This window comes from Homo sapiens, chromosome 3 (assembly GCF_000001405.40).
Source record: "Homo sapiens chromosome 3, GRCh38.p14 Primary Assembly".
Classification (NCBI taxonomy): domain Eukaryota; kingdom Metazoa; phylum Chordata; class Mammalia; order Primates; family Hominidae; genus Homo; species Homo sapiens.
This window is the reverse complement of record NC_000003.12, coordinates 173,240,964-173,268,720: the sequence shown is the minus strand read 5'-3', so window position 1 is coordinate 173,268,720 and position 27,757 is coordinate 173,240,964. Positions and strand designations below refer to the sequence as shown.

At 37.5% G+C, this 27,757-nt stretch overlaps 1 long non-coding RNA gene across 1 annotated transcript in view, besides 2 other annotated features; it reads right to left on the bottom strand.

The window, feature by feature from the left end:
• Positions 1-8,171: 8,171 nt before the first annotated feature.
• LOC105374224 (uncharacterized) overlaps positions 8,172-27,757 on the bottom strand; it is a 53,972-nt gene continuing 34,386 nt past the window's right edge. Inside the window, exons 4-5 of the long non-coding RNA XR_007096171.1 lie at positions 8,908-9,026; positions 8,172-8,246 (exon numbers count right to left, since the gene is read on the bottom strand). This is a non-coding gene — a long non-coding RNA (uncharacterized LOC105374224). The remainder of the gene's footprint in view (positions 8,247-8,907; positions 9,027-27,757) is intronic.
• Positions 14,750-15,288: an enhancer, noted in NCBI's record as "OCT4-NANOG hESC enhancer chr3:172971223-172971761 (GRCh37/hg19 assembly coordinates)". NCBI's record gives its function as "activates a minimal SCP1, AML or CMV promoter by ChIP-STARR-seq in primed H9 embryonic stem cells {active_cell/tissue: H9 hESC(primed)}" and the evidence as "EXISTENCE:reporter gene assay evidence [ECO:0000049][PMID:30033119]".
• Positions 22,816-23,385: an enhancer, noted in NCBI's record as "OCT4-NANOG hESC enhancer chr3:172963126-172963695 (GRCh37/hg19 assembly coordinates)". NCBI's record gives its function as "activates a minimal SCP1, AML or CMV promoter by ChIP-STARR-seq in naive H9 embryonic stem cells {active_cell/tissue: H9 hESC(naive)}" and the evidence as "EXISTENCE:reporter gene assay evidence [ECO:0000049][PMID:30033119]".

Below are 27,757 nucleotides of genomic sequence, written 5' to 3'. Positions count from 1 at the left end.
GAATTCAAAGCTGTCCCCAGGATGAATGCAAATATAGTCTATTGTGATTCTCACCAGTATTAACTGTGCCACTAGAGTAAGGCCTCAGGTCATATAAAGAAACTCCACAGAGTGCCCAGCTCTCTCTCTAAAAGCGCCTACAGAGAATCAAGAAAAATAAGGAGTCATTTTGGATATGAACTTAATCTTCCTCTACTTTTCTCCCTTCCCCACACTTAGAATCAGATTCATTTATCAAAGTTTCCCCATATCCATATAAGAAGCCACTCCCTTCCTGTCTTCTTTTAAGCAAAATTGCTTGTGGAAGAGGAAGAAAGCCACCTTTCTTTTGATGGCTTAGGAAGGATGAGTCTACCTTCCTATTACTATGATTCATTCTTGTCAAGCACCATTAGAAGAGCAAAAGGATAAGTTTGACTCTTCCCCTTTCCACAAATAACATTTACTCTATTTTTTGTGACTTTTATTTTTCTCCAAGGATTATAATTGTTGTTGCTCAGAAAAATTGAAGAAGCCTCAAGGTCCCCTTGGCATGTTCCCACTCCCTACTGTTTCTCCCAAAGCACAGGGTAAAGTTGTCTGAAGTTCCCCTATCTGCCTTAAGTCTCTGCCCACCAAGGACAACAATTTTTTTTCCTCCTCCCTATAATCTCATTATCTATGGCAGAGACAAGACAAAGAATGTAATCATATCTGACCCAACTCTTACAAGATAATGCCTCACAAGCTTATTCAGATTCCAAAGAGAACTGTTTATCATTTAACCTCTGTTCTCTATCCATTCATTCTTCCTAATAATCATTTATTGCCCCTCAAGAGAATTCCTCTTCTCCCACTTCCCATAACTGGTTTTGTGAGAATCTAAGCCCTTATTCTTTCTGTAACCTCAAGATGGCATATAAGCTTCTGTATCTCCTTGGGAAGTTGACTCTTCATTCTGAAACCTCTTGTGTATACACAGTAAGTTTTTATGCCTTTTCTTTAATTAATCAGTCTTTGGTTAGTTGATTTTTCAGGGAAACTTTACAGGGCCAAAGGCCTTGGTTCCTACACAATGTCTATTTTAGCATGACATATTCTGTATACACCAATTAAACTAGCTTAGAAGTACTATAAAGAATTGATACAGTCTCCCGTATCAATGAGATAAAGCAAAGACCCCTCTTAGGGGCCTGCTGGGACCTCTCCCCAAGCATAAAATTTTAAAAATACATATCTCTAGTCCCTTTGAAACAATTCTAGGCACCTAGTTAGCAAAAATAAATGAACAACCTGATAACCAAGAAGATGGCAATAACTTCAACAATAGCCTCCCAAGCAAGTCAGAGTCACATGGTGTTTTGGTTGCCTCTGAAAACTAAAAGATTACATCTGAACATATGGACTTGAGTTGTTTTTCAGAAACCAGGACTCTCCAAATGACAAATGCCAAACATTCAGGCCTGGTGGCTCACGCCTGTAATCCCAGCACTTTGGGAGGCTGAGGCGGGCAGATCACAAGGTCAGGAGTTCGAGACCAGCCTGACGAACATGGTGAAACCCAGTCTCTACTAAAAATACAAAAAATAGCTAGGCATGGTGGCAGGTGCCTGTAATCCCAGCTACTCAGGAGGCTGAGGCAGGAGAATCATTTGAATCTGGGAGGCAGAGGTTGCAGTGAGCCGAGATCATGCCACTGCACTCCAGCTTGGGTGACAGAGTGAGACTTCATCTCAAAAAAAAAGAAAAGAAAGAAAGAAAGAAAAATGCCAAACATTGTCACATATACCTCAGATAAGAGAAAAACTAAGAACTAGTATCTGATCACCATTCTTTGCCCTAAGTTTCTTCCTGGGGGTCCTGGGGAGCATCATGCCTACAGGCTAAACCTTAACATTCCTTTCTGTTGAACCCCAAGCTTTTAAACAAAGCATTGCTCCCTTAGCCTATTGCAAATCAAAAACAAATCTCTAAATTCACCTATGACTTGTGAGCCCTACTTCAAGATATCCCACCTTTTTGGGCCAAGCAAATATATAAACTCTTTATGTTGATTTATGATTTTGCCTGTAACTTCCGCTTTCTTAAAATGTACTCTTGTCTTAAAAACCGTTGCTTGTAAGTCATCGGGAAGTTCAGATCTTCAGCATTAGCTGCCCATCTTCCTTGCTTGGTGACCTGTAATAAATGACTCACTTTCTTTTGCTGAAAATCCTGGTATGTTTGCCTTTTTTTGTGTACCAGGCACACAGATCCAAGCCTTGTTTGGTAACATCAATAATTAAACAGTAGTCTTTGTCTTTACACACATGTGTGTACACATACACACACACACCCCTTACCTCACAAACAAAAATTAATAGATCCTGGTTCTTTCCATCTAAAGAATCCTTAGATTTTTTTAACACATGCTCCTGAATAATTTCAATTTCCCAATCACCATTAACTTTTGCTCTTTCATTCAGCAGGTAATGTTTAACATACTGCATATAAAACACTGTGCAAAAAGACCATGAAAAAGTAACGTTCTTTTTCATCAAGGAGTATACAGTGAATTGGAGGACAAGTATACACAGTGTGATAAGGGCTATGATAAACATGTACAGAAAACAATGGGAGCACAGAAGACAAGGGGCACCTCACCCAGGCTGGCAGAGGTGGTAGTGACAGGAAAGGGGAAGAAACTGTCATGAGTGACCCTTGAAGGACAAACAGAACAAACAGGAGTTAAACAGGTGAAAAACAGGAAACGGTGTAAAGAGAAGGGACTTGTCAGCTTTTGTAAGTAACTTGAATTTTGGGACCCCAGTTTTTTTTATCCATAAAAATTGGATAATAATTATCTAGGGCACACCAACATGTCTAAATGTGTGTGTGTGTATGTGTGTGTATGTGCATGAAGGGTGCACCCATTTTGGTTGGTACCTTCTCTGACTCCTCAGCTAACCTCATTACATCAGTAAGAAGACAAATTAGGATAGTGTATGTGAACATACAAAGTAATCTATACAATATAAATTTAATTAATTAAAATCTACCAGGATGAATTTGTTGCTTGAATCACATGTTGACTTAGAAAGATGCTGAAGGTAAAAAGTGGAAGAAGAAAGAAGAAAACTAACTTACATAGAATTCCTATTACGCACAGCATGAACAAGGTATTTAGATATATACTCCTTTTTTATAGTCCCCAAAAAACCAATAGATAGAAATATGCAATTGAAGGAGCCCAGGGAACCTCACTCCTAAATATGGCACCGTTGTATGATGATTGCTTTAAATTAAAGACCCTTAAAAGTCAGAAGAGGCTGGAACAGACTCTACTCTGATATTCCCCTATCTACCTTAAGACTGCACCTGCCAAACAGAACACAATTGCCTTCTATCCCCTCCCTGAAATCTCATCATCTGTCACAGAAAAGAAGATTGAGGAATGTAACCACACCTGGACAGACTTTTTCACAAGATAACATCTAGTTCATTCAAATTCCAAAGGGAATCATTTACAAGTTAAGGATCTATTCATTCTCCCTAATAATCACTACCCCTCAAAAAAATCACCGCCATTTTACATCTCCCCCTATAAAGAAGGGTATATAAGCATCTGGGCTTCATTGGGTTATTGGATAACCACACTTCTGCGATTTTCTCCCATGCACATTAAATAAATTTTGTACACCTTTCTCATATTAATCTGCCTTTTGTCAGTTCATTTTCGGTGAACCTTCAGTAGGCAGAAAAGATAATCTCCCTCCACCTCTACACTATCATTATTTTCCAAAGGAGAAAACTCATAAAAGTTAAATATTTTTCCCATGGTAAAACAGCTAGTAAGTGGAATACTCAGAATTTTAAGTCAGTTGTTCTAAGTTCTAACTCTTTTCATACTCCTATGTGGCAAAGAGCAAATGTTGTGGGAGTACTTCATCCTCATACCATAATCACACCTTTATTTATTTGACTCCCTCCAAAAATTACACCTGTACGTGGTCTGGTTCCAAAACAATCAGTGATGCCAAGGGCAAGATCAGAGGCCTTTGGACTTTATCAAAATCAAGGGGTAATGCTGGGTCTCCTCTGAACAGTGCTTCCTTTGCTTAAGAAAAGCTGTGGCTAATGTCCTATTCTCTTCCCCACTCCAAAGCAAGAAAAGAAAAGAAGGAAAAAGCCAAGTTTTCAGATTTAGAGAAAATCATGTGAAGACTCATGCCTTAGCTTAATTTCTGCAGTCAACACTATGCACTAAGAGCTGACTATGTGTTTAGCACTAGAGAAATGCCAGTTGGCATCAGAACTGGACTTCAAGGGATGAGAGAGACTCCAGGCTGAGAGAAAATGTAACTGTCAAGGCACAGAGGTGAAAACACCTAGGTAATGCCTGGGAAGTACAGATAAGTTCAAGCTGGTTAGAAAATAGATCATGAGAATAGAGATATCAGTCTATCTCCCAAATATCTCACAATTCTGTCTCTCTCTCCACCTCTACTTCTGTGGTCTTTGTTAAATATCAGGACTCTTTATAAGAGCTTGTCATTATTCTTAGTATGAAAAGACACAGTAACCTTAAACTATCTTACTTTTCTAAATTCTACAAAAATATATTTGACCATTTAATACTTAACTAGGACTCCCCCAGGACCTTAGACGGGGCCTGAGAAGTGAGAGGACCTGATGCTTATTTCATTATCTTTATGTTAATCTGCATCTGGGGAGTAAAGGATGAAGTTGATAAGGAAGGAACAAGAAAATAGAAGATAAATTATATCATCAGCACATGTCAAGAGAAAAGTAACCATAAGACAAACATCCTTCCCCAAATAACAAGAAATAAATATCACGGAATATTTATATAAAAAGGCTGATTTTTTTTCTAGAAATGATGATATTGCCCTAAATCAGCAAAATTAAATGTTCCACCATCAGTAAAATTGCTTGCTCAAATATTAAGCCAAGTTATAATCAAGTTTAAAACTTATATCTTCACTCAGAATAAAGGGTAAACACATAGGGTCAGCCTTGGAAAGCTGGATAAACATTTATTCCTATGAAACAGAAAGAAGAGCATTAACAAATTTAAGAAAAAAAAAGGAGAGGGGACTTTTCATACAATAAAAGAAGATATCTGAAAATAATAGAAAATATTTGTATTAATCCAAAAGTTCTTTGCTTGCCCTTAGTATATCTTCCAATAAATTGAATTATTGAAGGAAATGTTATTATATATCAAGGGAAATGACAATATTATTTACCCATAGCTTGATTTCTTATATCTAAAAAATTGTGAATTTAGTACTTACAAATATAAGAGACATAGTGACTGAAGCCAGTAATAAAAATAAAAAATATTATGTCACTGTCATCACATCGCATTATAAATATCCTTAAAATTATCCTCTTGTGTCATTATCCACATATGAATATTTCTTATGATAGCATACAACTTTATTTACTTTCTACTATCTGGAAAAATTATTAACATTTTAGACATGAGCTTGTCAAATTAAAAAAGCTCACAGCAACTGTTTCACATTAGTTGCAAAAGTCATCACTTGGCCAACATTTAAAACTAGTTGTCAAAATAAAGACAAAAACTTAATAAAGAATGATATACTGCCAATATTATACCATGCATAAGAGTGCATAATTTTAGCTGTCTTTGATGGACCCAAGAAAAAGATTTTGAATAAAATAAAGTAGTAAAATGTATTGCAGGGACAATTAGCTTCATAATTAGGAGCATTTGCCATGATGTACATGGGGTTCTAAATTTTTGAATTCATATTAAAACTGATAAAACGAAGAGTGTTTTTCTCACTAATGCCACAACTTAGGACTAATTTGTAGAAGAAACTACCTATAAAAGGCTTTTGTTATGGTAGTTGCCATTATGTCACCAAATAAATGCACTTGGATTGCATCCAAGACTGACTACCCAGTCTTCACCACTTTGCAAAACAAGTTTTCTTTATGAAACAAAAATGTCGAGGCAATTTCTAACTTGCAGTGAGTTGTATTCTAAAATATATTTTGCAGGTGGCTGTTTGTTAGATTCACAATGATTTCCATGGTGCCATACTTGGGGGTCAACTAAAGAAATAAATTTAACCCACAATATACCAGTATTATAGAATAAATTATGAGAAGTATGTATTGTGTATAACAACAATTCTCTGGAAACTACAGTTATTGATTTTTCTAAAAATGCCAGGAACACACCCCATATTTGCTGCAGCTGGATAGGAAATTTCCCTTCCAACTCTACCTCTGCTTAAGGGGCAGTTAGAACAAAGAGTTTATCAGCTTTAAGCTAATGCAGGAGTTGTGAGAGTTAGAGTTGAGGAAGACAAGTTGAAAGGCATGATTGCTACAAACTGAGGGTGTCTGGTATAATAGGGCCTTAGAAACACATCAGTAGCCATTTGCCACTTATCTCTTTTATTTCTTCTTGTCAACCCAAGGATAAGTTAGAATGTAAGATTTCTGATAGCATTGTCTTTGAATTATGATCTGGGTTTGTTCCCTCTCAAGTCTACTTAGAAACAGTTTCTTTTTTCCTATTTCACTTTTTCAAAAATAAACCAAAAAGGACTATCTGAGGTGTTTTGCTTTCTTTGAGTTTTATCTGCTTAAATCAATTTTTACTGCAACTCACAATGAGGAAACAGAATTTTTTATGAGCCTCTCAAATTCTTCCTTTTCATATAGATTCAGTTATCTTCATACATAGTATTACAGTAAGCTTGTTTGTCAGAACCAGCTATGAGAGACAGAGCAACTACTTTTGATTAATGATAGTTTAATTATCGATGTTTTAATGCAATGTTTAAAAAATAACTTATAATGGATTTAAGGTTAGTTCTATAATAAGTGACTTCTTTCTTGCAGTCTGATGTGTTTTTGAAAAGTGAGAGAGAAAGTGCTGGAATTGTGTATATATAAGTTGGGAATTTGACAGTGCCTACAGCCCTTACTTTATCAATGCAAACATGATCATATGTCTTGAGTGACAATGTATAAAAAATGTAGAGAAACACTCCTGTAGAGAAAGATGGAATCTTCGTAGACAGAAAGAACTGGAGAAAGAAAAAACTTTTTCTGAGTTTAATAGAAATGTGAGGATCTTGTTTTCCTGGGCATTTGATTAGAGGCCTTAGGGTAGAGTCTAAGGGAATGCACTAATTGGCATGTGCTCAGTCTCAGCATTGGGATAGCAATGAAGGAGAGATGGGAAAGCATACCTTAGCCTTTTACCATTTCATTTTAAAGTTCTGCTTCATAGGACCCTATCTTAGATAATATCAGAAGCATGAGAGGAAGCTGGATCAGTTTCCAAATATTAGTTAAGAAGGAGGTTAGTGCACAAAGTAGAGAAAGTGAAAAAAAAATTGAAGGATTTTCCAATGTTTCCACTAAAATAGGAGAGATATTAAAACTATCTTTGCAAAGATTATGACAGTGAGAGAAATCTAGCATGGCTGGTTCCATCTTACTTCTAGCCTCACAGGCTGACCATCTTTGCTCATTTCTGGGCATAGGCCGAGGAAAACATGGGAGAAATTTAGTTTGTAGTTTAACCTGGAAGCAAAGATGATAATAATCCCCCCGAAAGCTACCCCTGTTCTTGCTAAAGGACTGAAAACTAATAAAAGGCCATGAGATTAGGATTATGGGATGGGCCTGAACTCTGCTAAAATGTAGGCATAGTTTCTATAATCCCTAACTGACAGGACACATGTGGCCAAAGATCGTAAGATTTGTGGCTTCCCCAATTGTTCCTATATATAACATGACCATTGTAGAACCTAAGATTGATATTTCAAGATGCTTTTCAAACGTTTGCATTCTGGCAGTTGACTGACCCCATCTAGACTATGACTCATGACTCAGTTCATCTGTGGTCCCCACCCAGAGGTGGACTCAGCACATGAGGACTGTTTTCTACATCCTTGTGATTGCATCCCCAACTAATCAGTAGTCCCCATTCCCTACTTCCCTACTCATCACACCATCCTTCAAAAACCCAAACCTCCAAGCCTTCCAAGAGACTGATGTAATAACTTTTTCTTCTGCATGTCTAACCTACCATTAATTAACTCTTTCTTTATTGCAATACCACAGTCTCAGTGAATTGGTTTTATCTGTACAGCAAGCAAGAACCCACCAGGTGATTACAATATAAAATTAGAGCCTACCTTTTTATTATGTCCCGTATGCAGAATTAACCTGGAAAGCCCGTGGACATACAGTACAATGCATGGGTCAGCCACCTTTTTTGTAAAAAGTCAGACAGTAAATATTTTAAGCTTTACTCGTCATATGACCTCTGTTGCAGCTACTTAACTCTACTATTGTTGCAAAAAAGGCAGTCTTAAACAATATGTAAATGAATGATTGTGACTGGGTTACAGTAAACGTTATTTTTTCTAAATAATAGGCAGTGGACCTGATTTGGCCTGAGGGCCATACTGTGTCCACTCCTGCTATAATGGAATAAGCACTAGAATTAGTTTAGCTGTTAAGTAATGTATTTTATAATCTGAGTTTGCTTAACTCTTCAAGGTCTCTTTTTCTTCAGGTTTCTCATGTGTAAAATGAGTGCTGAACTAGCTCTGTAATAATGTATGCAGATATGTTACACTTATATATTTATAGAGTTTATTTGATAAATTTACATTACATTCATCAGGGTAAATATTGCAACTGTTGTAACAGACAAACTCAGAATCTCAGTTGCATAACAAACTGAAAGTGTATTTCTCATTTATGTGAAGTTCAAAGCAGATGTTCCTTCTCCAGAGCATCTTGTTCACAGGCTGTGATTCAGGAACCCCATATTACATTGTTTGGCTAGAGCAAAGACGCATCAGTGTTACCCAACCAGCAGTCCTGAGGGAAGGGAACACTGAGGATTACATATTGCAACCTTACCTGTCTCCTAGAGGTAACGTAGACATGCATCGGTAACAGGGTCTACCTGGATGCAAGGGGGAGAGGCTGGGAAATAATAGTCCTTGAAGGGGCAGCCATTGTCCAGCAACATCTCCATACTATGGAAGGGATGAAGAAATTATTAGTGGTCAGCTGGCAGTATCTGCCACAATTATAAATGCAAAATGTGAAAAAAGTCCCCAGTGTGTATGTATGTGTTCTACAAAAATATTCATTATGTGTATTTGGAGATGGTTTTCAGAAATATTAAGTAAGGCCCCTGTGGAAACTAGATAAGAATAAATGAGGCCGGGTGCAGTGGCTCATGCCTGTAATCCCAGCACTTTGGGAGGCTGAGGCAGGCGGATCACCTGAGATCGGGAATTCGAGACCAGCCTGACCAACATGGTGAAACCCCATCTCTACTAAAAATACAAAAATTAGCCTGGCATAGTGGTGCATGCCTGTAATCCAAGCTACTCGGGAGGCTGAGGCAGGAGAATCACTTGAACCTGGGAGGCAGAGGTTGCAGTGAGCCGAGATTGTGCCACTGAACTCCAGCCTGGGCAACAAGAGCAAAACTCCATTTCAAAAAAAAAAAAAATAAATGAATATATTTAGTTTATTAATGAAGTAATGGACACATCAAAATTTTGGCCAATTGTTTAATATTTCCACAATAAATCAATAATATACTTGAGTTTCAACTGTAAGGACTAAAGCCATACTTTCAAAGTTTTGCTTATTCTTTTATAAAATCGAATGTATAATGAATTGGAATTTCCACAAGCAGCTGGTGCTCACACCTACAAATGCATAACAATAACTGTTTCCTCCCAAAGTCCAAATGCAATTCTAGTTAGGCAAAGAAAGTTACAGAGTTTGGAGATGAGCCAAAGCAAAAGAATTAAGCATAGTTAAGCAGACTTCCAGACATAGAAAGCAGCTGAATTTCTTCTTAGGGATTCATAATTATAAGGAGGTCATTAGAAGAAGATTTAAAACAGTATTGCTGGCTTGCCTTTGATGCTACAAATTCATCTCTCTTTGATGCTTATGGTGCCCCTTATGCTCAGTCACTACAATGTTTTAAGGATTATTACAAACTAGGGGAAGCTGTTTATTCAATTGCTTACTCAAATCTTTCTGAATGCTAAACGTGGCACACACTCCTATCTTAACAAACTATTGAAAAGTGAGTTTATAATCAGGGAAGCCAATGAAACAAATAAAACAACTCTTTGAAGAGGATTCATTTACTATATCTACATATGTAGATATCTATATATCTACATAGATAGATAGATGTGTATATATATATGCATATTTACTGAGTACTTCTGTATACCAAGGATAATACTGAGACAGTGTATGCAAATAACCATAAGCCTTGCCCTCATAGAACTTAGACTCTTATAGGGAAGTAGAAAATAAACAAGAGACACATATATAATTCCAACCTACCAAGCATAAGGAGGAAATAGGTAGAGAATACCACGTAAGGGGATGATCCACTTATAAAGGGTATACAGGGACAACCTAAAAGACATTTAACTCAAGACTTAAGGAAGATAAAGAATCAGCTAAGTAAAACCTCAGAGGAAGAGAATTCCAGGGAGAAAAGAAAAACAGTAAGTGGAAAAGACCTAAAACAGGAAAAAGCCTAGCATGTATGAAAAACAAAACGGAAGCTAGTGTGACTCCACTTGTGAGCTAGAGGAGAGAGACTCAATGGAGGTAAGAAGCAGGCCAACCATGGAAGAGCTTCAAGTCTAGGCATGCATGTGAAATATTATTCTGATCTGCACAGGAAACTCATGGAAGGTTTTAAAGCAGAGCCAAGATTTTTATCTGATTTCATAAAAGATCATTCTGACTGTCGAGTGGGGAATACATTAGGGTCTGAGTCAAAGGGGAGGAAGGAAATAAAGGAGAGACCCAGGGGCGGAAGTTAATAAAACAAAAATCGGAATTAACTTAAAGTTTGTTGTCTCAGTTGAACATGGGCAAATCTTTCCTTTTTTATTTTTCACTTTTTATTGATACATAATAATTGTATATATTTGTAAAAACACTTGATATTTTGATACATGCATAAAGGGCGTAATGATTAAATGAGGGTATTCAGGATACTCATCGCCTTGAACATTTATCATTTCTTTGTGTTGGGAACATTTCAAATCTCTTCTAGCTATTTTGAAATAGATAATAAATGATTGTAATTTATTGTAGTCTCTCTATTATGGTAGTAACTGTAGTCTCTCTATTATGCTACCAAACACTGGATCTTGCTCCTTCTATCTAACTCTATCTTTGTGCCCATTAACCACCCCCTCTTTATCCCCTGCTCCCCACTACCCTTTTTAGCCTCTAGCAACCATCATTCTACTCCCTATCTCCATGAGATCAAAATTGTTTAGCTCCCACCTATGAGTGAGAATATGCAATATTTGTCTTTCTGTGCCTTCCTTATTTCATTTAACATAATGGCCTCCAGTTCCATCAATGTTACTGCAAATGACAAGATTTCATTCTTATGTCCGAATAGTACTCCATTATTATATAGATCATATATTGTTTCTCCATTCATCATTTAATGGACACTTAGGTTGATTCCTTATCTTGGCTATTATGAATAGTGCTACAATAAACACAGGAGTGCATATATCCCTGTGATATATATTTTTTCTGTCCTTTGAAGCAAATAGTAGTGAAATTGCTAGACTGTATGATAGTTCTATTTTTAATTTTTTAAGAAAACTACATAATGTTTTCCACAATGGCTTTAGTAATTTACATTTCCACTAACATTGTAAAAGAGATTTCTTCTCTCCACCACCAGCATTTGTTATGTTTTGTTTTTTTGGTAATAAGAAAATGAGAAAATCCTATTATTCCTGATACGAGACTATAAAGTTATTTCAGTAAAAACCAATCAGTTAAGTCAGAAAGCTGAGGAAAATATTTATACAAAATATAGTTTACATAACATTTCATTTGAGGGTGTTGGTCTAACTCTGTAAGAATATTTTTACATTTATACAAGCTATAAGCTTTAGACGTCTTACATCCCTATAGTACAAACACATTGCATGCATATACACACACATACATACATACATAGATACACATACAATTTTCTACTGTGTACAATGTATACAAAAAATATCTCTTCAGAATGCTATTTCCCAAAATTGGGAAACAGGAATGATATTGGCATTAGAAAGGGCTTTAGGTAACATTGGACATGATATTTGATAACAGGATGTATTAGTCCATTCTCGTATTGCTGTAAAGAAATACCTGAGATTGGGTAATTTATAAAGAAAAGAGGTTTAATTGGTTCATGGTTCTGCAGGCTGTACAGAAAGCATGGCAGCATCTGCTCAGTTTCCAGGGAGGCCTCAGGAAACTTTCAAGCCTGGCAGAAGGCAAAGGGGGAGTTAGACACTTTACATAACTAGCACAGGAGGAAGAGAGCTGGGGGGAGGTGCTACACACTTTTACACAGCCAGGTCTCACAATCCCTCACTCACTATCTTGAAAATATCACCTAGAGGATGGTGCTAAATCATTCATGAGAAACCCATCCCGTGATTCAATCACCTCTGACCAGGCCTCACCTCCAACACTAGGGATTGCAATTCAACATGAGATTTGGGTGGGTTCACAGATCCAAACCATATCAAAGGACACAGTAAAAAATAACATGAATTTAGATAGTGAGAACTTTATTTTCTTTTCTTTCAAGCCCAACGATGTCAAAGAGGAAGTTTCAATTTAAGACTAAATATTATTTAACATCTGTCTAACATGAGCTAATCTTTATTTTTTAATTATATCTCAAGCTCCCATACTTTAGTAGTAAACAATACTGACATAGTTTGGATGTGTTTCCCTGCCCTGATCTCATGTTGAAATGTAATCCACAATGTTGAAGGTAGGGCCTGGTGGGAGGTGACTGAATCATGGGGGCAGATTTCAACGAATGGTTTAACATCATCCCCTGATGCTGTCCTCATGATAGTGAGTGAGTTACTGTGAGAGCTGGTTGTTTAAAAGTGCGTGGCAACTCCCCACTCTCTCTCTTGCTCCTCCTTTTGTCATGTGATGTGCCTGCTCCCCCTTTGCCTTCTGCCACGATTGGAAGCTTCCTGACGCCTTGCCAGAAGAAGATGCTGCTGTTTCCTGTACAGCCTGTGAAACCGTGAGCCAATTTAATCTCTTTATGTTATAATTTATCCAGTCTCAGATATTTTAGCAATGCAAGAATGAACTAATACAGAAAATTAGTACTGAGGGTTGTGGAATCGCTATAAAGATTCCTGAAAATGTGGAAGTGACTTTAGAACTGGGTAATGGGCAGAGGTTGGAAGAGTTTGGAGGTCTCAGAAGAAAACACAGAAGATTAGGAAAGTTTGGAATTTCTTTGAGACTGGTTGAATGGTTGTGACCAAATGCTGATAGTGATATGGACAGTGAAGGCAATGCTGACGGTGTCTCAGATAGAGATGAGGAATGTATTGGGAACTATAGCAAAGGTCACTTTTGTTACGCATTAGAAAAGAACTTGACTACGTTGTGTCCATGCCCTAGGGATCTGTGGAAGTTTGAACTTGAGAGTGATGACCTAAGGTATCCGGCAGAAGAAATTTCTAAGCAGCAAAGTGTTCAAGATGGGCCTGGATGCTTCTAACATCCTACACTCATATGCAGGAGCAAATAAATTACTTAAAGGTGGAACTTACACCTTATACAAAAATTAATTCAAGATGGATTAAAGACTTAAACGTTAGACCTAAAACCATAAAAACCCTAGAAGAAAACCTAGACATTACTATTCAGGACATAGGCATGGGCAAGGACTTCATGTCTAAAACACCAAAAGCAATGGCAACAAAAGCCAAAATTGACAAATGGGATCTAATTCAACTAAAGAGCTTCTGCACAGCAAAAGAAACTACCATCAGAGTGAACAGGCAACCTACAAAATGGGAGAAAATTTTCGCAACCTACTCATCTGACAAAGGGCTAATATCCAGAATCTACAATGAACTCAAACAAATTTACAAGAAAAAAACAAACAACCCCATCAAAAAGTGGGCAAAGGATATGAACGGACACTTCTCAAAAGAAGACATTTATGCAGCCAAAAGACACATGAAAAAATGCTCATCATCACTTGCCATCAGAGAAATGCAAATCAAAACCACAATGAGATACCATCTCACACCAGTTAGAATGGCAATCATTAAAAAGTCAGGAAACAACAGGTGCTGGAGAGGATGTGGAGAAATAGGAACACTTTTACACTGTTGGTGGGACTGTAAACTACTTCAACCATTGTGGAAGTCAGTGTGGCGATTCCTCGGGGATCTAGAACTAGAAATACCATTTGACCCAGCCATCCCATTACTGGGTATATACCCAAAGGACTATAAATCATGCTGCTATAAAGACACATGCACATGTATGTTTATTACGGCACTATTCACAATAGCAAAGACTTGGAACCAATCCAAATGTCCAACAATGATAGACTGGATTAAGAAAATGTGGCACATATACACCATGGAATACGATGCAGACATAAAAAATGATGAGTTCATGTCCTTTGTAGGGACATGGATGAAATTGGAAATCATCATTCTCAGTAAACTATCACAAGGACAAAAAACCAAACACCGCATGTTCTCACTCATAGATGGGAATTGAACAATGAGAACACATGGACACAGGAAGGGGAACATCACACTCTGGGGACTGTTGTGGGGTGGGGGGAGCGGGGAGGGATAGCATTAGGAGATATACCTAATGCTAAATGACGAGTTACTGGGTGCAGCACACCAGCATGGCACATGTATACATATGTAACTAACCTGCACATTGTGCACATGTACCCTAAAACTTAAAGTATAATAATTTTTTTAAAAAAAGGATAAAATAAATAAATAAATAAAAGGGTTGCAGAGCATAAAGGTTTGGAAAATTTGCAACCTGACCATGTGGGAGAGAAAGAAAAAGCTTTTTTGGGAGGGGAATTCAAGTAGGCTGTGGAGCAACCACTTGCTAGAGATATTTGCATAACTAAAAAGAAGCCAAGCGCTGATAGCTAAGACAATGGGAGAGGCAGGGAAGGCTTCAAGGGCATTTTGGAGAACTTCAAGGCAGCCCCTCCCATTACAGACCCAGGGCCCTAAGAGGAAAGGATGGTTTCATGAGCCAGGCCCAGGGATCTGCTGCCCCACACAGCCTTAGGACACTTCTCCACATATCCTGGTCACTCTAGCTCTAGTCACTTCTTAAAATGGCTCATGTGGCTGGGTGCAGTGGCTCACACCTGTAATCCCAGCACTTTGGGAGGCCGAGGCAGACGGATCACAAGGTCAGGAGATTGAGACCATCCTGGCTAACATGGTGAAACCCTGTCTCTACTAAAAATGCAAAAAACATTAGCCGGGCATGGCGGTGGGCACATGTAGTCCCCTACTCAGGAGGCTGAGGCAGGAGAATGGCGTGAACCTGGGAAGTGGAGCTTGCAGTGAGCTGAGATCGCACCACTGCGCTCCAGCCTGGGTGACAGAGCAAGACTCCACCTCATAAAAAAAAAAAAAAAAAAGGCTCATGTACAGCTTGGACAGCTGCTTCAGAGGGTACAAGCTGTAAGCCTTGGTGGTCTCCTCATGGTGTTAAGTCTGTGGGTGCACAGAGTACACAGGGGTTGAGGCTTGGGAGCCTCTGCCTACATTTCAGAGGATATATAGAAAAGCCTGGATGTCCAGGCAGAAGCCTGCTGCAGGGGCAGAACCCTCATGGAGAACCTCTACTAGGGCAGTGTGGAGACAGGAAATGTGGGGTTGGAGCTCCCACACAAAGTCCCCAGTGTGTTACTTCCTGGTGGAGTTGTGAAAAGAGGGCCACCATCCACAAGACCCCAGAATGGTGGCTCCACCAGCAGCTTGTACCCTGTTCCTGGAAAAGCTGCAGGCACTCAATGCCAGTTCATGAGAGCAGCTGCAGGGATTGAACCCTGCAACGCCACAGAAGCAGAGATGCCCAAGGCCTTGGGAGCCCACCCCTTGCATCAGTGTGGCCTGGATGTGGTACATGGAGTCAAATGAGATTATTTGGGGGCCTTAAGATTTAATGACTGCTCTGCTGGATTTTGAACTTGCATGTTCCTGTAGCCCCTTTTTTGCTCAATTTCTTCCTTTTGGAATGGGAATGTTTACCTGTTTGTACTCTCATTGTATCTTAGAAGTAACTAACTTGTTTCTTATTTTACAGGCTCATAGGAAGAAGGAATTTGCCTTGTCTTGGCTAAGACTGGACTTTGGGTTTTTGAGTTAACACTGGAATGAATTAAGATTTGGGGGGATTACTGGAAAGCATGATTGTATTTTGAAATATGAGAAGAACATTAGATTCGGGAGGGGCCAGGGATGGAATTATATGTTTAGATGTGTGTTCCCACCCAAATCTCATGTTGAAATGTAATCCCTAATGTTTGACGGGGGGCTTGGTAGGGGGTGATTGGATCATGGGGGGGGATTTCTCATGAATGGTTTAACACCATCCCTTGGTGCTGTCCTCATAGTAGTGAGTGGGTTATCATGAGATCTGTTGGTATAAAACTGTGTGGCACTGTCCCCCACTCTTTGCTCCTGCTTTTGCCAGGTAATGTGCCTGCTCCCCTGTTCCTTTCTGCTATGATTCTGCTTCTGCTTCCTGAGGTCTCCCTAGAAGCAGATGCTGCTGTGCTTCCTGTACAACCTGCAGAACCATTAGCCAATTAAAGTTCTTTTCTTTGTAATTTATCCAGTCTCAGGTATTTCTTTTCAGCAATGCAAGAATGTACTAATACAAATACCTAGTTATGATTTAATGATTTTTATTTGCTTATATTGAATTTGTGATTACAGTCTGTTTATGAAAGAAGATATTTTTAAAAAGGATGTTTTCACATTTTGGTAATAAGAAAAATATTTCTTAAATAATATTTAAGTAAAAATGTGAATTGGGTTTAAAAAAATAAAGATATGATGGTCTTCAGAATTTTGCAAAAACCATAAACATAATTCATAAACAACTGAAGTTTGTGAAACACCATTTAGAATAGTTTGTTTCAGAGGCAACAAATTACTCAAAAAATAATAAAAATTATGAAATTAACTACACAAATATTTCCACAACATTAGTGATATCCTAGTGGGTCTTGTAATTGTTAACAAGTCCAGAGAGGACCAGATTAAATTGGCCATTGTCCAAAGGCCATTCCTGCCAACATCCAGCCTCCTCTCTCAGGTATAGAGATATTAAAATAATGAAGAAGATAACTATCTTATTCGGTTTGCTCTGGCCTTTGTAGAAAGAATAAAAAATAAATAAGCAATGTATATAATAGAATTTATAAATAGGCAATTGCTTTGCAAATTATTGCAATCAAGGGGGAAAAGGTGATTTCAAAAACACCAACTAAATTCAATAGCCCCATGGAGATGTAGGTGATTAAATCTTTATATGATTTCAGATGTTTGATTGACTTGGGAATAAAAAGTACATGTATTTCCAAAGAGGTAGTTAAAAATCGTCAATATTTTTTATATAGGAATCTGATTTGGACTCTTCTGCAAGATTTTTCTATTTAATAAACATAGTAATCCCAGAAGAAAATTCAATCCTATGTGAAATAAAACATAACAAACTTTGTATTGCATAAAATAAATAATTATTTTGGCCTGCTATTATTCTTATTTAGGTAATTATTTTTCTGAAAAGGACCAGGTCATTTCCCAGGAGCCTGTCTAGTTCTGTTAGTCAATCACTTTATCAGTCCCATTCACTAATTGATTCTTACCGCATTTATTAAGTGCTAATTTTATAACCATCGCAGTACTTTATGTTGGAGACAAATGGTAAGTAAAACATAGTCTCTCCCCTCAAAGAGCTTGGAGTCAAATAGAGGGAAAGGGGCTTGTGAGCTACCTGATGAAGTATCAGAAAGGTTACAAAATGGGTTGAAAAGTTCTGGTTTATGATCTCTGTCTACTTAGACCATGTTCAATAATTGCCTCAAATGCAGGAATAGAAGACCATGGATGAGGAAGATTCGTCCAAGAATAGACCTGGGGGCTGCCCAAACTAGCTGACCCAGTAACGCAGTCCTCCCCCAGGGCAGTGATTCATTGTGATTCCTTCCTAGAAGAACACTACATATCATATAACCCTGTAATAATCCATATACTTTTTCTTCTAGTCCCAATTTTATTGCAGTAATCATGTTCTTTTTTATTAATCTTATATTAAGTGTTTGGAGAATAGATACACGTATCAATTATCCACACATAGAAAAGTAGGAGGATCTAAAATTGGAATTGACTAAGATGATTTACACATCATCCAGAGATCTTGACTTTACCATTAGCTAAGAGTTCACTTGTCTCCCTTTTTGGACAGGGTTGGGACATTTAATATAGACATGAACATTTGTGACATAGATTAAGAGAAATAGATGTATAGTAGATGTGGAGCAGTCAATTGGTCAGGTAGTGATATGATTTGCCTCTGTGTCCCCACCCAAATCTCATCTCAAATTGTAATTCCCATGTGTTGAGGGAGGGAGCTGGTGGGAGGTGATTGGATCATAGGGGTGGTTTTCCCCATCCTCTTCTAGGGATAGTGAGGGACGTCTCATGAGATCTCATGGTTTTAAAAGTGGCAGTTGCCCCGGTATGCCCTCATTCTCCTGCTGCCTTATGAAGGAACTTGCTTCTCCTTCACCTTCCATTATGATTGTAAGTTTCCAGAGGCCTCCCCAGCCATGCAGAACTGTGAGCCAATTAAACCTCTTTTCTTTATAAATTACCCAGTTTGGAGACTGATTTGAGTAATAATAAAACTCAAGTCTTCCTCACAGATGAGAGATAGAGAATTACTCTTTCTCTTTTGCAGTTACTATTTCTCTATTGCAATTCCTCTGTCTTGATAAACTGGCTCTGTCCGGGCAGTGGGCAAGGTGAACCCATTGGAAGATTACAAATCTGGGGGCTTATCTGGGATTGCCCCTGTGGCTACCTGCCTGTGGTTCAGTAGCTCCCCTCCAGCAATGGATACAGAGGCCAGCCCAAACGGCCACATAGTTCTCTTGGACTGGAGGCTGACTCTGGTACTGCAGTGCTGCCAACCCAATGTGCATGAATTTAATTGCAATAGAGAAAGAGTCCTGGGGAGATGTCCCATAACTAGCCCTGTCATAGGGTATCTGTCTATAGCTACATAGCAAGGTGTCTGTAACTGTAGTCATAAAATAGGGTGTCTGTCTGTATCCCAGTCATGGAGTGTCTGTAGGTGTAGCCCCATTATGAGGTGTCTAGTTTGGTGAGTATCCCAGGTGCTGCCAATGCCTCCTTCCTGCTCCCAATTGGTTTGACTCCTTCAGGGGTCTCGGTTTTTCTGTAGCCCCATGGTGGGGTGCCTGTCTGTAGCCCCACTGCAGGGTCTCTGTCTTGGTTCAACTCCTTTGGGGGTCTTGATTGGCTCTCCCTAATTAGTAGGAAGAGTCTTGGTTTGGGAGACTTCTCCCCAATCAGGATGATCTTGGAGAGATTTCTTAGATGGAGAATAGGAAGATGGTTTGGAAGGGATACTCTTGGGAGTTCTTGGTTAGGGATCTTGATTTGGAAGGCTTTCTGTCCATCTTGTCTTTGTGTGTGTCAGAAGGAATTGCTGACAGAAGTCTAGCAGGCCTAACTCAGAGAATCCTCCTTATTTTTCTGGTCACATTTGGTGAGTCCTGAGGAAAGCTCAACAGGGCTGATTTGGGGTGACTATTCACTCTTCATGTTGCCCAGAGACCACCCATTGAATTATCGGTTGGAGGTCATCCCTCCCTACTTGGAATGGATCAAAGACAACAGGGACCAATAGGAGAAAGCCTGAGCCTTGCCTGGTCAATATTGGTTGCTGAATGAGGTGATTAATGTCTGTTTTGTCATGTGTATTTTGCTTTGGCTGGGATGGAAAATGTTAATTTGGTTCCCCATGTAGCCTGTTGGGAGCATCTTGCAAAATTGAGAATCTCTTGCCTATGGTTCCGTAAAACAGATAAGGGTGATTTTTTTTTTGTAAAGTGGCTTGACCCCCACAACTATGGCGCAGTGAGAAATGTCTCAAAAGCCGCTCCATTCTTCTGGAAGCTGCAGAGAAAGGGAACCTGGAAACCTGGTATGCTAGCAAAAAGGGTATGAAATTCTTACCAATCAAGTTTCTAGTCTCTCACACTCTCTGTTTGTGTATTCATGTGTAAATGGTAAACATCACTATTTGTCTCCTTTGCAAGCATTTGATTAATAGAAGAAAGGATCTGTGAGACTAGTCTTAAGCTATAACAAATCTGGTGTGCTTTGTACTAAGAATTTGTCTTTTTGTGTCATTCTGTAATGGAGAGAGGGGCATCACAGGATAGGACGTGGATTTAGGATCCCTATAAGCCTGCTGAAGCCTTGGTTTCTGCCATCAATAGGACAGAAATTTGGGGGTTCATGTCATAGTTATCCCTAAAAATTATCTTGAGCATTTAAGAGCCTTTGCAAGCTCTAAATTGGCTTCTAGGCACCTTCTCAGAAGAGCAATAGAAACTGCTCAATGCTGTAACTCAGTAGCTAAGATTTTGTCTTTGACCATGGTAGCCTAGGTTCAATTCTTGGCTTAGGGAGTGAGTACTTTCTAGTTTGTTATTTGAGTAAATTTTTGCCATTTATTGATTCTTTTCCCTCATGGGCCGCTTCTGATTCCCTGTCTTTATTTTCCTTTCTCCTTCCTCTCTCTAACCTTTGAAGAGAATCTAATTCTTGTAAAAAAAAAAAAAAGGAAAGAAGAAAGAAAGAAAGAAAAGAAAAAGAAGAAAGAAACCACTTACTATCTCTTTGAGACACTTTACCTTATGCCTTCATGGTTAAGTTATAACCTTATTTAAAACTTATTAATTTTATGTGGAGGGTTTTCTGTGGTAGAATTCAAAAGCCGGAAATATTGGCTATCCTGGCTAGAGTCTGGCAATAAGAAATTTAAAAGGATTTTTTGTAAAGAAAAAAAAGCTCTGTAGTTAAAATCAGCTTAATTAAAATAAGATATCCAAGCTGTACATATATTTAAAAGACCTTTATGTTTTTTCTCTTCTTGGATCTTATTTTTCTGAAGGAAAGAAAAGGTTTTCCTTTTCAGTTGACTGAATTGTTTTTCCCAGTTTAGTCTTCTTGCCACTCTTGATGTCAACATGAGAGAACTTAAGATAAACTCTAACAGCCTGGGACTCCTGGGGAAAAGCAGAGAAGGTGCCACAGACCCCATTTTAGGAAAAACCTCCATTTTCCTCATGGAACCCCAGGAATTGAGAGAAAATAGATCCCTCTAAAATCTAAGGCTTTGTTCTGTTTCACACTGCATTAGCTGACTTTTTTAACTTTTGGGGGGTATCAGAAATTATTTTGCATTATGGGAGAGCTTTTAGCCTTGGTGTCTAACAACTAGGTAGGAAATATATTTTAAGGGATGGCTAATGGCAGTTGAGGAGAAATACTTGGCTTTTTGCACGCTTGGATTAGAGAAGCATGCTCTTGGCCACCCAGAAGACATGGAAACGTCCTCACCACCCATTGAGAGGTGAGACCTCCATGGGGGATTGGCTGATTACAAAATGGGCTGATTGGCTTTGGGATGCCTTGCAATGAAATGCACCATAGAAGCATTACACTATCTTCTCCCATAGTATCCCTCTCCTTTTGCGGGACAAAGGATTCATCATAAAATGACACCCTTAATTTGGGGGATCTGTTTTTGCCTTCCAGCTGTGCCTGCTTATTAGGACCTAGAAACTGCAAGCTTTCCTGGCCCTGTTCCTCTAAGAGCTCCACCCTGAAGCCAGTAATGCAACTAAGAAACAAGTAAATGAAAAATCTTACAACTACTGGATCTTCCGTCTGTCTGTGTATTTATATGTGTTGTCTGTGTGGTGTTTATATATAAAAGAGCTCTGATTAATTGTCTTGGAAAGATAAGTGCTTAAATCATATATCAGCAGAAAAATAGAAACTTTAATGCCTGTTTGTTCACATGACTTAAGTAATCGTTTGGGAATAAAGACAGTTTTAAAGCCTATTGGTAAAACAAAAGCGTCTTCAAAATTTAGACATTTGGTCTGAATTAAGGCCAGATATCAGATTTGCTATGTGCTTTAAGGTCATAAACTGCTTCTTTGACTTTTGAAAATTGTTTAATTTACCTACTTTGTAGCATTAGTTCTAGATAAGGCCTGGGGACATGTGGAGTTAGCCATGTTCTCTGGCTATGCTGGAAAGAGTCAGACCTTGTCTGCACTTCTGTCTGATGTCCTAGTCTCCACACCTAGTACATAATTAAAATTGCTAATTTATCAGGTTTTTCACCAAAATAAAAGTTGCTAAGAGTGACCATTTTAACATGTAGTTGAGACTACTAGGGAAAGAGTTTTACGTACAAAGTTGCAAGGTATAGAAGGAAAGTAGAATATGGTTTTGGTGGGTGATTATAAGAAGGCATGGGAATATGGTTTCTGTTAAAGGGGATGTAATTTTGTCTAATTCAGAGGGTTTTAAAGATTGTCTTAACCTGAAAGAGTAATGGGACAAAACTGAAGGTGTAAGCAAGTTGAAAAGGGTTTGTGATAGTTTGATCTTGTAAAAAAAAAAAAAAAAAAAAGTTCTGTGGGTATAAGCAAGCTAGCTAAGATTTGAAGGGGATTATTTAGTTTCTTTTTTCTGTAGGTTGAACATTTAAATAAAAGCACACTGATGCAGGACCAGAATCTGGGCCCATGTGTCTGAATAACAGGGTTTTCTTAGAAAACTGATCTGCTGTTTAACAGAAAACTGTAAAGGGTTCTAAAAGTTTTATGAAAATCTTACTTTATGGTCAAATGAATTAAAACTGGACAGATTTCTGAAATTTTATGAAAATGAAGTGTTATTATTAAAGATGCAGTAATGCAAACATGAAATTTGGTTTTCCCTTTTGAAAACAATTTTTATGTAACATTGACACAATGAAAGATTTTTGCCTTTCAAGTAAACTACAAAAAAGTGGGGGGATGCATATTCAGTTGGCCTCATGCTGTCTTCATCCAGTCTTGTTGTTTGAAATGCTGAGTATCCTATCAGAGTCTACAAAGAACTCAAATCACCAAGAAGAAAAAAAACAATACCATAAAAAAGTAGGCTGAAGACAGGAATATACAATTCTCAAAAGAAGATATACAAATGGCCAACAGACATCAAAAAATATTCAACATCACTAATTATTAGGTAAACGCAAATCAAAGTCACGATGCAATACCACCTCACTCCTGCAAGAATGGCTATAATAAAAAAATCAAAAAATAAAAGATGTTGGCATTGATGCAGTGAAAAGGGAACACTTTTACACTGTTGGTGGGAATGTAAACTAGTACAACCACAATAGAAAACAGTGTGAAAATTCCTTAAATAACTAAAAATACATCTACCATTTGATTCAACAACCCCACTCCCAGGTAGCCACCCAGAGGAAAATAAGTCATTATACAAAAAAGATACTTGCACACACGTTTATAGTAGCACAATTCACAAATGGAAAAATATAGAACCAGCCCAAATGCCCATCAATTGAGTGGATAAAGAAAATGGGATATACATATGTATATATATATATACACACACACATACACACATACACACACACACACACACACACACACACACACACACACCATGGAATACTACTCAGCCATAAAAAGGAACAACATAATGGCATTCGCAGCAACCTGGATGGAGTTGGAAACCATTATTCCAAGTGAAGTCACTCAAGAATGGCAAACCAAACATCATATGTTCTCACTCAAAAGTGGGAGCTAAGCTATGAGGACACAAGGGCATAAGAATGACACAGTGGACTTTGGGGACTTGGAGGAAAGGGTGGTGGGGGGGGGTGAGGGATAAAAGATTACACATTGGGTACAGTGTACACTGCTCAGATGATGGGTGCACCAAAATCTGAGAAATCACTACTAAAGAATTATTCATGTAACCAAACGCCACTCCTTCCCCCAAAACCATTGAAATACAGAAGGAAAAAGGATCAGACTCAGCTATAGCAGAGATTTTGGATTTATTAGTCCAGGAATTTTTTTTTAAAATAAGCAAAAATAAAAATTTCTCTAAGATAGGAGTCATAACCTTTAAGAAAATGTACTATTTTAAAAAAGATATTTTCCATACAGAGTAAGGTATAGCAGAATATGAGGAAATTAAGTTTCTTCAAAATTTAAAATAAAAAAATTACCCAGTTTCAGGTAGCATCTTTATAGCAGTGTGAAAACAGACTAATGCAGGTAGTAATAGAAATATGTTGTTTTCAGATACCAAAATCTTTCTATATTTTCATCTCTATCACTTTTAGTTTATGTTCTCCTGTCAGAGTCAATTCTGTCTCATCCTTGGACTGGAGCGCATGACTTAGTACTAATCCAATCAGGGCATCATATTTGCTTAATTCTTATGATTGAGTGAGAATGTGACCTAAGTTAAGCCAACCAGAATTAATCTCAAGACTTCATAAAAGCTACTGAAAGAGATTTGCATTTTCTACCATTTGGCCTGAAGTTATGAAAAATGTAAGTGATAGCAGCATAGCAGCCATTTTGTGGTGAAGATGAAGGAGCATGCCACAGAATTAACTCAAAAGAAGTACAATAACAGAGCTAAGTAGCACCAAGAAATGGAGATAACTTAGCCCCAGTGATATTGTGTGAACCCAATATTTCAAGTCAGGTCTAAGTGTAGTTCAGTTACATTAGACAATACATTCCCTTTTGGCTTAATCAATTTTTTCTTCTCTCTTGCAAACAAAAGAATCCTACCTGATTATGGAGGTACAATAATATCTCCATTGATTCTTCCTATTTAGTTTTCTAGCTTAGTATAGAAAGTAAGTGTGGTATACTTTGAACTGGAAGAAAAATAAGTATTTTTTCAAAGTAAGAATAAAAATAAGAATTCTTCATTCAAAACAATCTTCATGAGAAATCTATGAAGACAGAAGATATTCTGTATGATTTTTAAGATGGTTTTTCTACAGTAGAGTTCTCCTGGAGCAAAAGAAAATAATTTATTTTGTGGTAATAAATGAACATTGTGATTTTGCAAAGTCTGTTTTATTCTAATGGTCACGTTCTTTCCATTGCACCACTTGGTTCATGACCAATGAATGGTTTACAGCTTGCATGTTTTATGGACAAAATCCCCAGAATAATTCAAAGCAATATGCAGAATCTTCTCTGCCTTTTCCCAAATCACTAATCTATTATAGTCTTAATATCCAGAGACCTATTACGACCATGCCACTGTCAACTCTCTTCCTTTCAGCTTCACTGAAAAAAAATCTCTTGGTGGTGTCCATCTTAAAAGCAAGATCCTCCAATTCTGAAAGCTCTGTAACAGAGAGAATCACTTAGTCTTCCATTCAAGAAACATTTATTCAGTGCTTATTTTGTTCTAGTATTTTGCTGGGTACATAATAACAAAGGTGAATTTAAAGAAGAAGAAGAAGAAAAGACATGCCTTCTGCCAGATGAAGCCAGCAGTCTAATGAAGAGAAAAAAAGTGCTCATTTAAGAAATTTCTCACCTAGAAAAGTTTAGAAAAACACTGATTTTAATAACTGAATAAAAGTAATTCTTAATAATGGAACAGAGGGTAGAGGGTAAACAATGGGACAGCCCATCATTTTTAAAATACTTTCTGTTGGCCAAATGTTCTTTCCTTCTCTCTTATTAGACAGTGTAAGGCATAAATAAAGTTGCCTTGAAACCAGGTAGGAAATAAATGAATGTTGCCTTCGATACAATCCTCTCTTCTCACTACTATTTTATAAGACCCCTGAAATATAAAGCAAGGTTGCTCTTCATTATTTGGAAATTGTTCTTGACTTACGGGTCCTTTTTTTCTTTGAAATTTACTGGCTACAACTCATTTCTTAAGACATAAGTTGTCAATTACTTAAAGTTAGAAAAAATGTCGTTTGGAGCACCCACTTCCATGCCTGTCACATTTAGCCACTCAATAAATATTAGGATTTCCCCCCTTTCAACCAAATGTGATAAATTAACCCATGTTTCAATGAGAACTTGTTACAGAAGCCTTTAAAAAAATAATAGCAGAGTGGCTTAAAAACATAATGAACTAAGTAACCTGAAAGAACTTCTAATATAAAACATCTAGATATATTGGATTAAATATAACAACCACCCTTTAAATTTATAACTGAGCACATAATAAATCAATGCAATTCAAGTAGGAGAAAAAAATAACAAAAACAAACAAACAAACAAAACACCTAGGGGTAAGGGGATAAGGGAGTAAGGAAGATTCTAAAGGTAGCAACCGGAATGGAAGCTAAATTAGCTGATTTCACTAACCAGGAGGCTTAGGTTTAATGTACTTAACAGAGATAGGAGAAAAAGATTGTTTCCTTTTACACGGACATGAATTTGAGTCACATGATCCAGATAACCTCATAACATAAAGAAGTCCCATGTTGGTAAAAATTATTTCTGCCTTTAAATATATATTTCCAAAAAGAAAACATCAGAGGATTCTCATAGATAACGTCTCACCAAAAATAAACTCACCTTCAAAATTACATAACTCATGAGGAAATAGGCCATAATGAGTGAGAACCCACAGAGTCAACAATAGCTGACACAGGCCTCTAAAAATATCAGATAACAAAATTCTCACTTTTATAATAAACAAGTATATTTAAAATGTATAAAGAATTTAAAATATTTTATTTTTAATATTTTAAATTATTTTTAATATATTATTTTAAAATATTATTTTAAATTCTTTATTATTTTAAATTATTACTACTGGTAATAGTTTACCATTAAATAATACGTGCCAGAATTGAAGAAAAAAACACAATAGAAATTTCAGAAATCAAATTACCATCCAACTTAAAAACTCAATCAATAGATTAAGCAGAAGAGTAGACATAGGTGAATAGATAAATAAGCTGGAATGTAGATCTGAAGAGTTTAACTGGAATAAAGAATACAAAATAAAGAGATGGAAAACATAAACAAAACTGAGAGATCAGGAAAATAGAATACGATCCAATGTATATCTAAGTGATGTTAAAGTAAGACTAAATACAAAAAATTAGCTGGGCGTGGTGGCGGGCACCTGTAGTCCCAGCTACTCGGGAGGCTGAGGCAGGAGAATGGCGTGAACCCGGGAGGCGGAGCTTGCAGTGAGCTGAGATTGCGCCACTGCACTCCAGCCTGGGCGACAGAGCGAGACTCTGTCTCAAAAAAAAAAAAAAAAAAAGAAAGAAAAGAAAAAAAGGTAAGAGTAAAGAGAAAGAATGGGTAAGAGGCAAAATTAGAAGTGATAATGAGTTAGAATTTTTTCCTAGAAATGATAAGTTATGAATCACCTGTTCAGAAAACACATGATTGGAATAAGCAAAAAGAAATAAAAACCTGGACATAGTATGATATACTTTAATATACCAAAGAGAAAGAGCAAATCCTAGTAGCTGTAATTGAAAGATAGATAACCTACAAAAAAAAAAAAAAAAAAAAAAGACAGGTAAGCCAAAGGCAAACTTCACAAGATGTAAGAAAAACAGAAGACCTGAATGATATCTGAAGATATTGAGTGAAAATAACAATCAACCTAGAGTTTTATATCTGGTGGAACATCTAAAGAAAATATTTCACAATGATAGAAATTGAATTAGGGCTGAAATTACAAAAATAAAGGTGAGCAAAAATGTG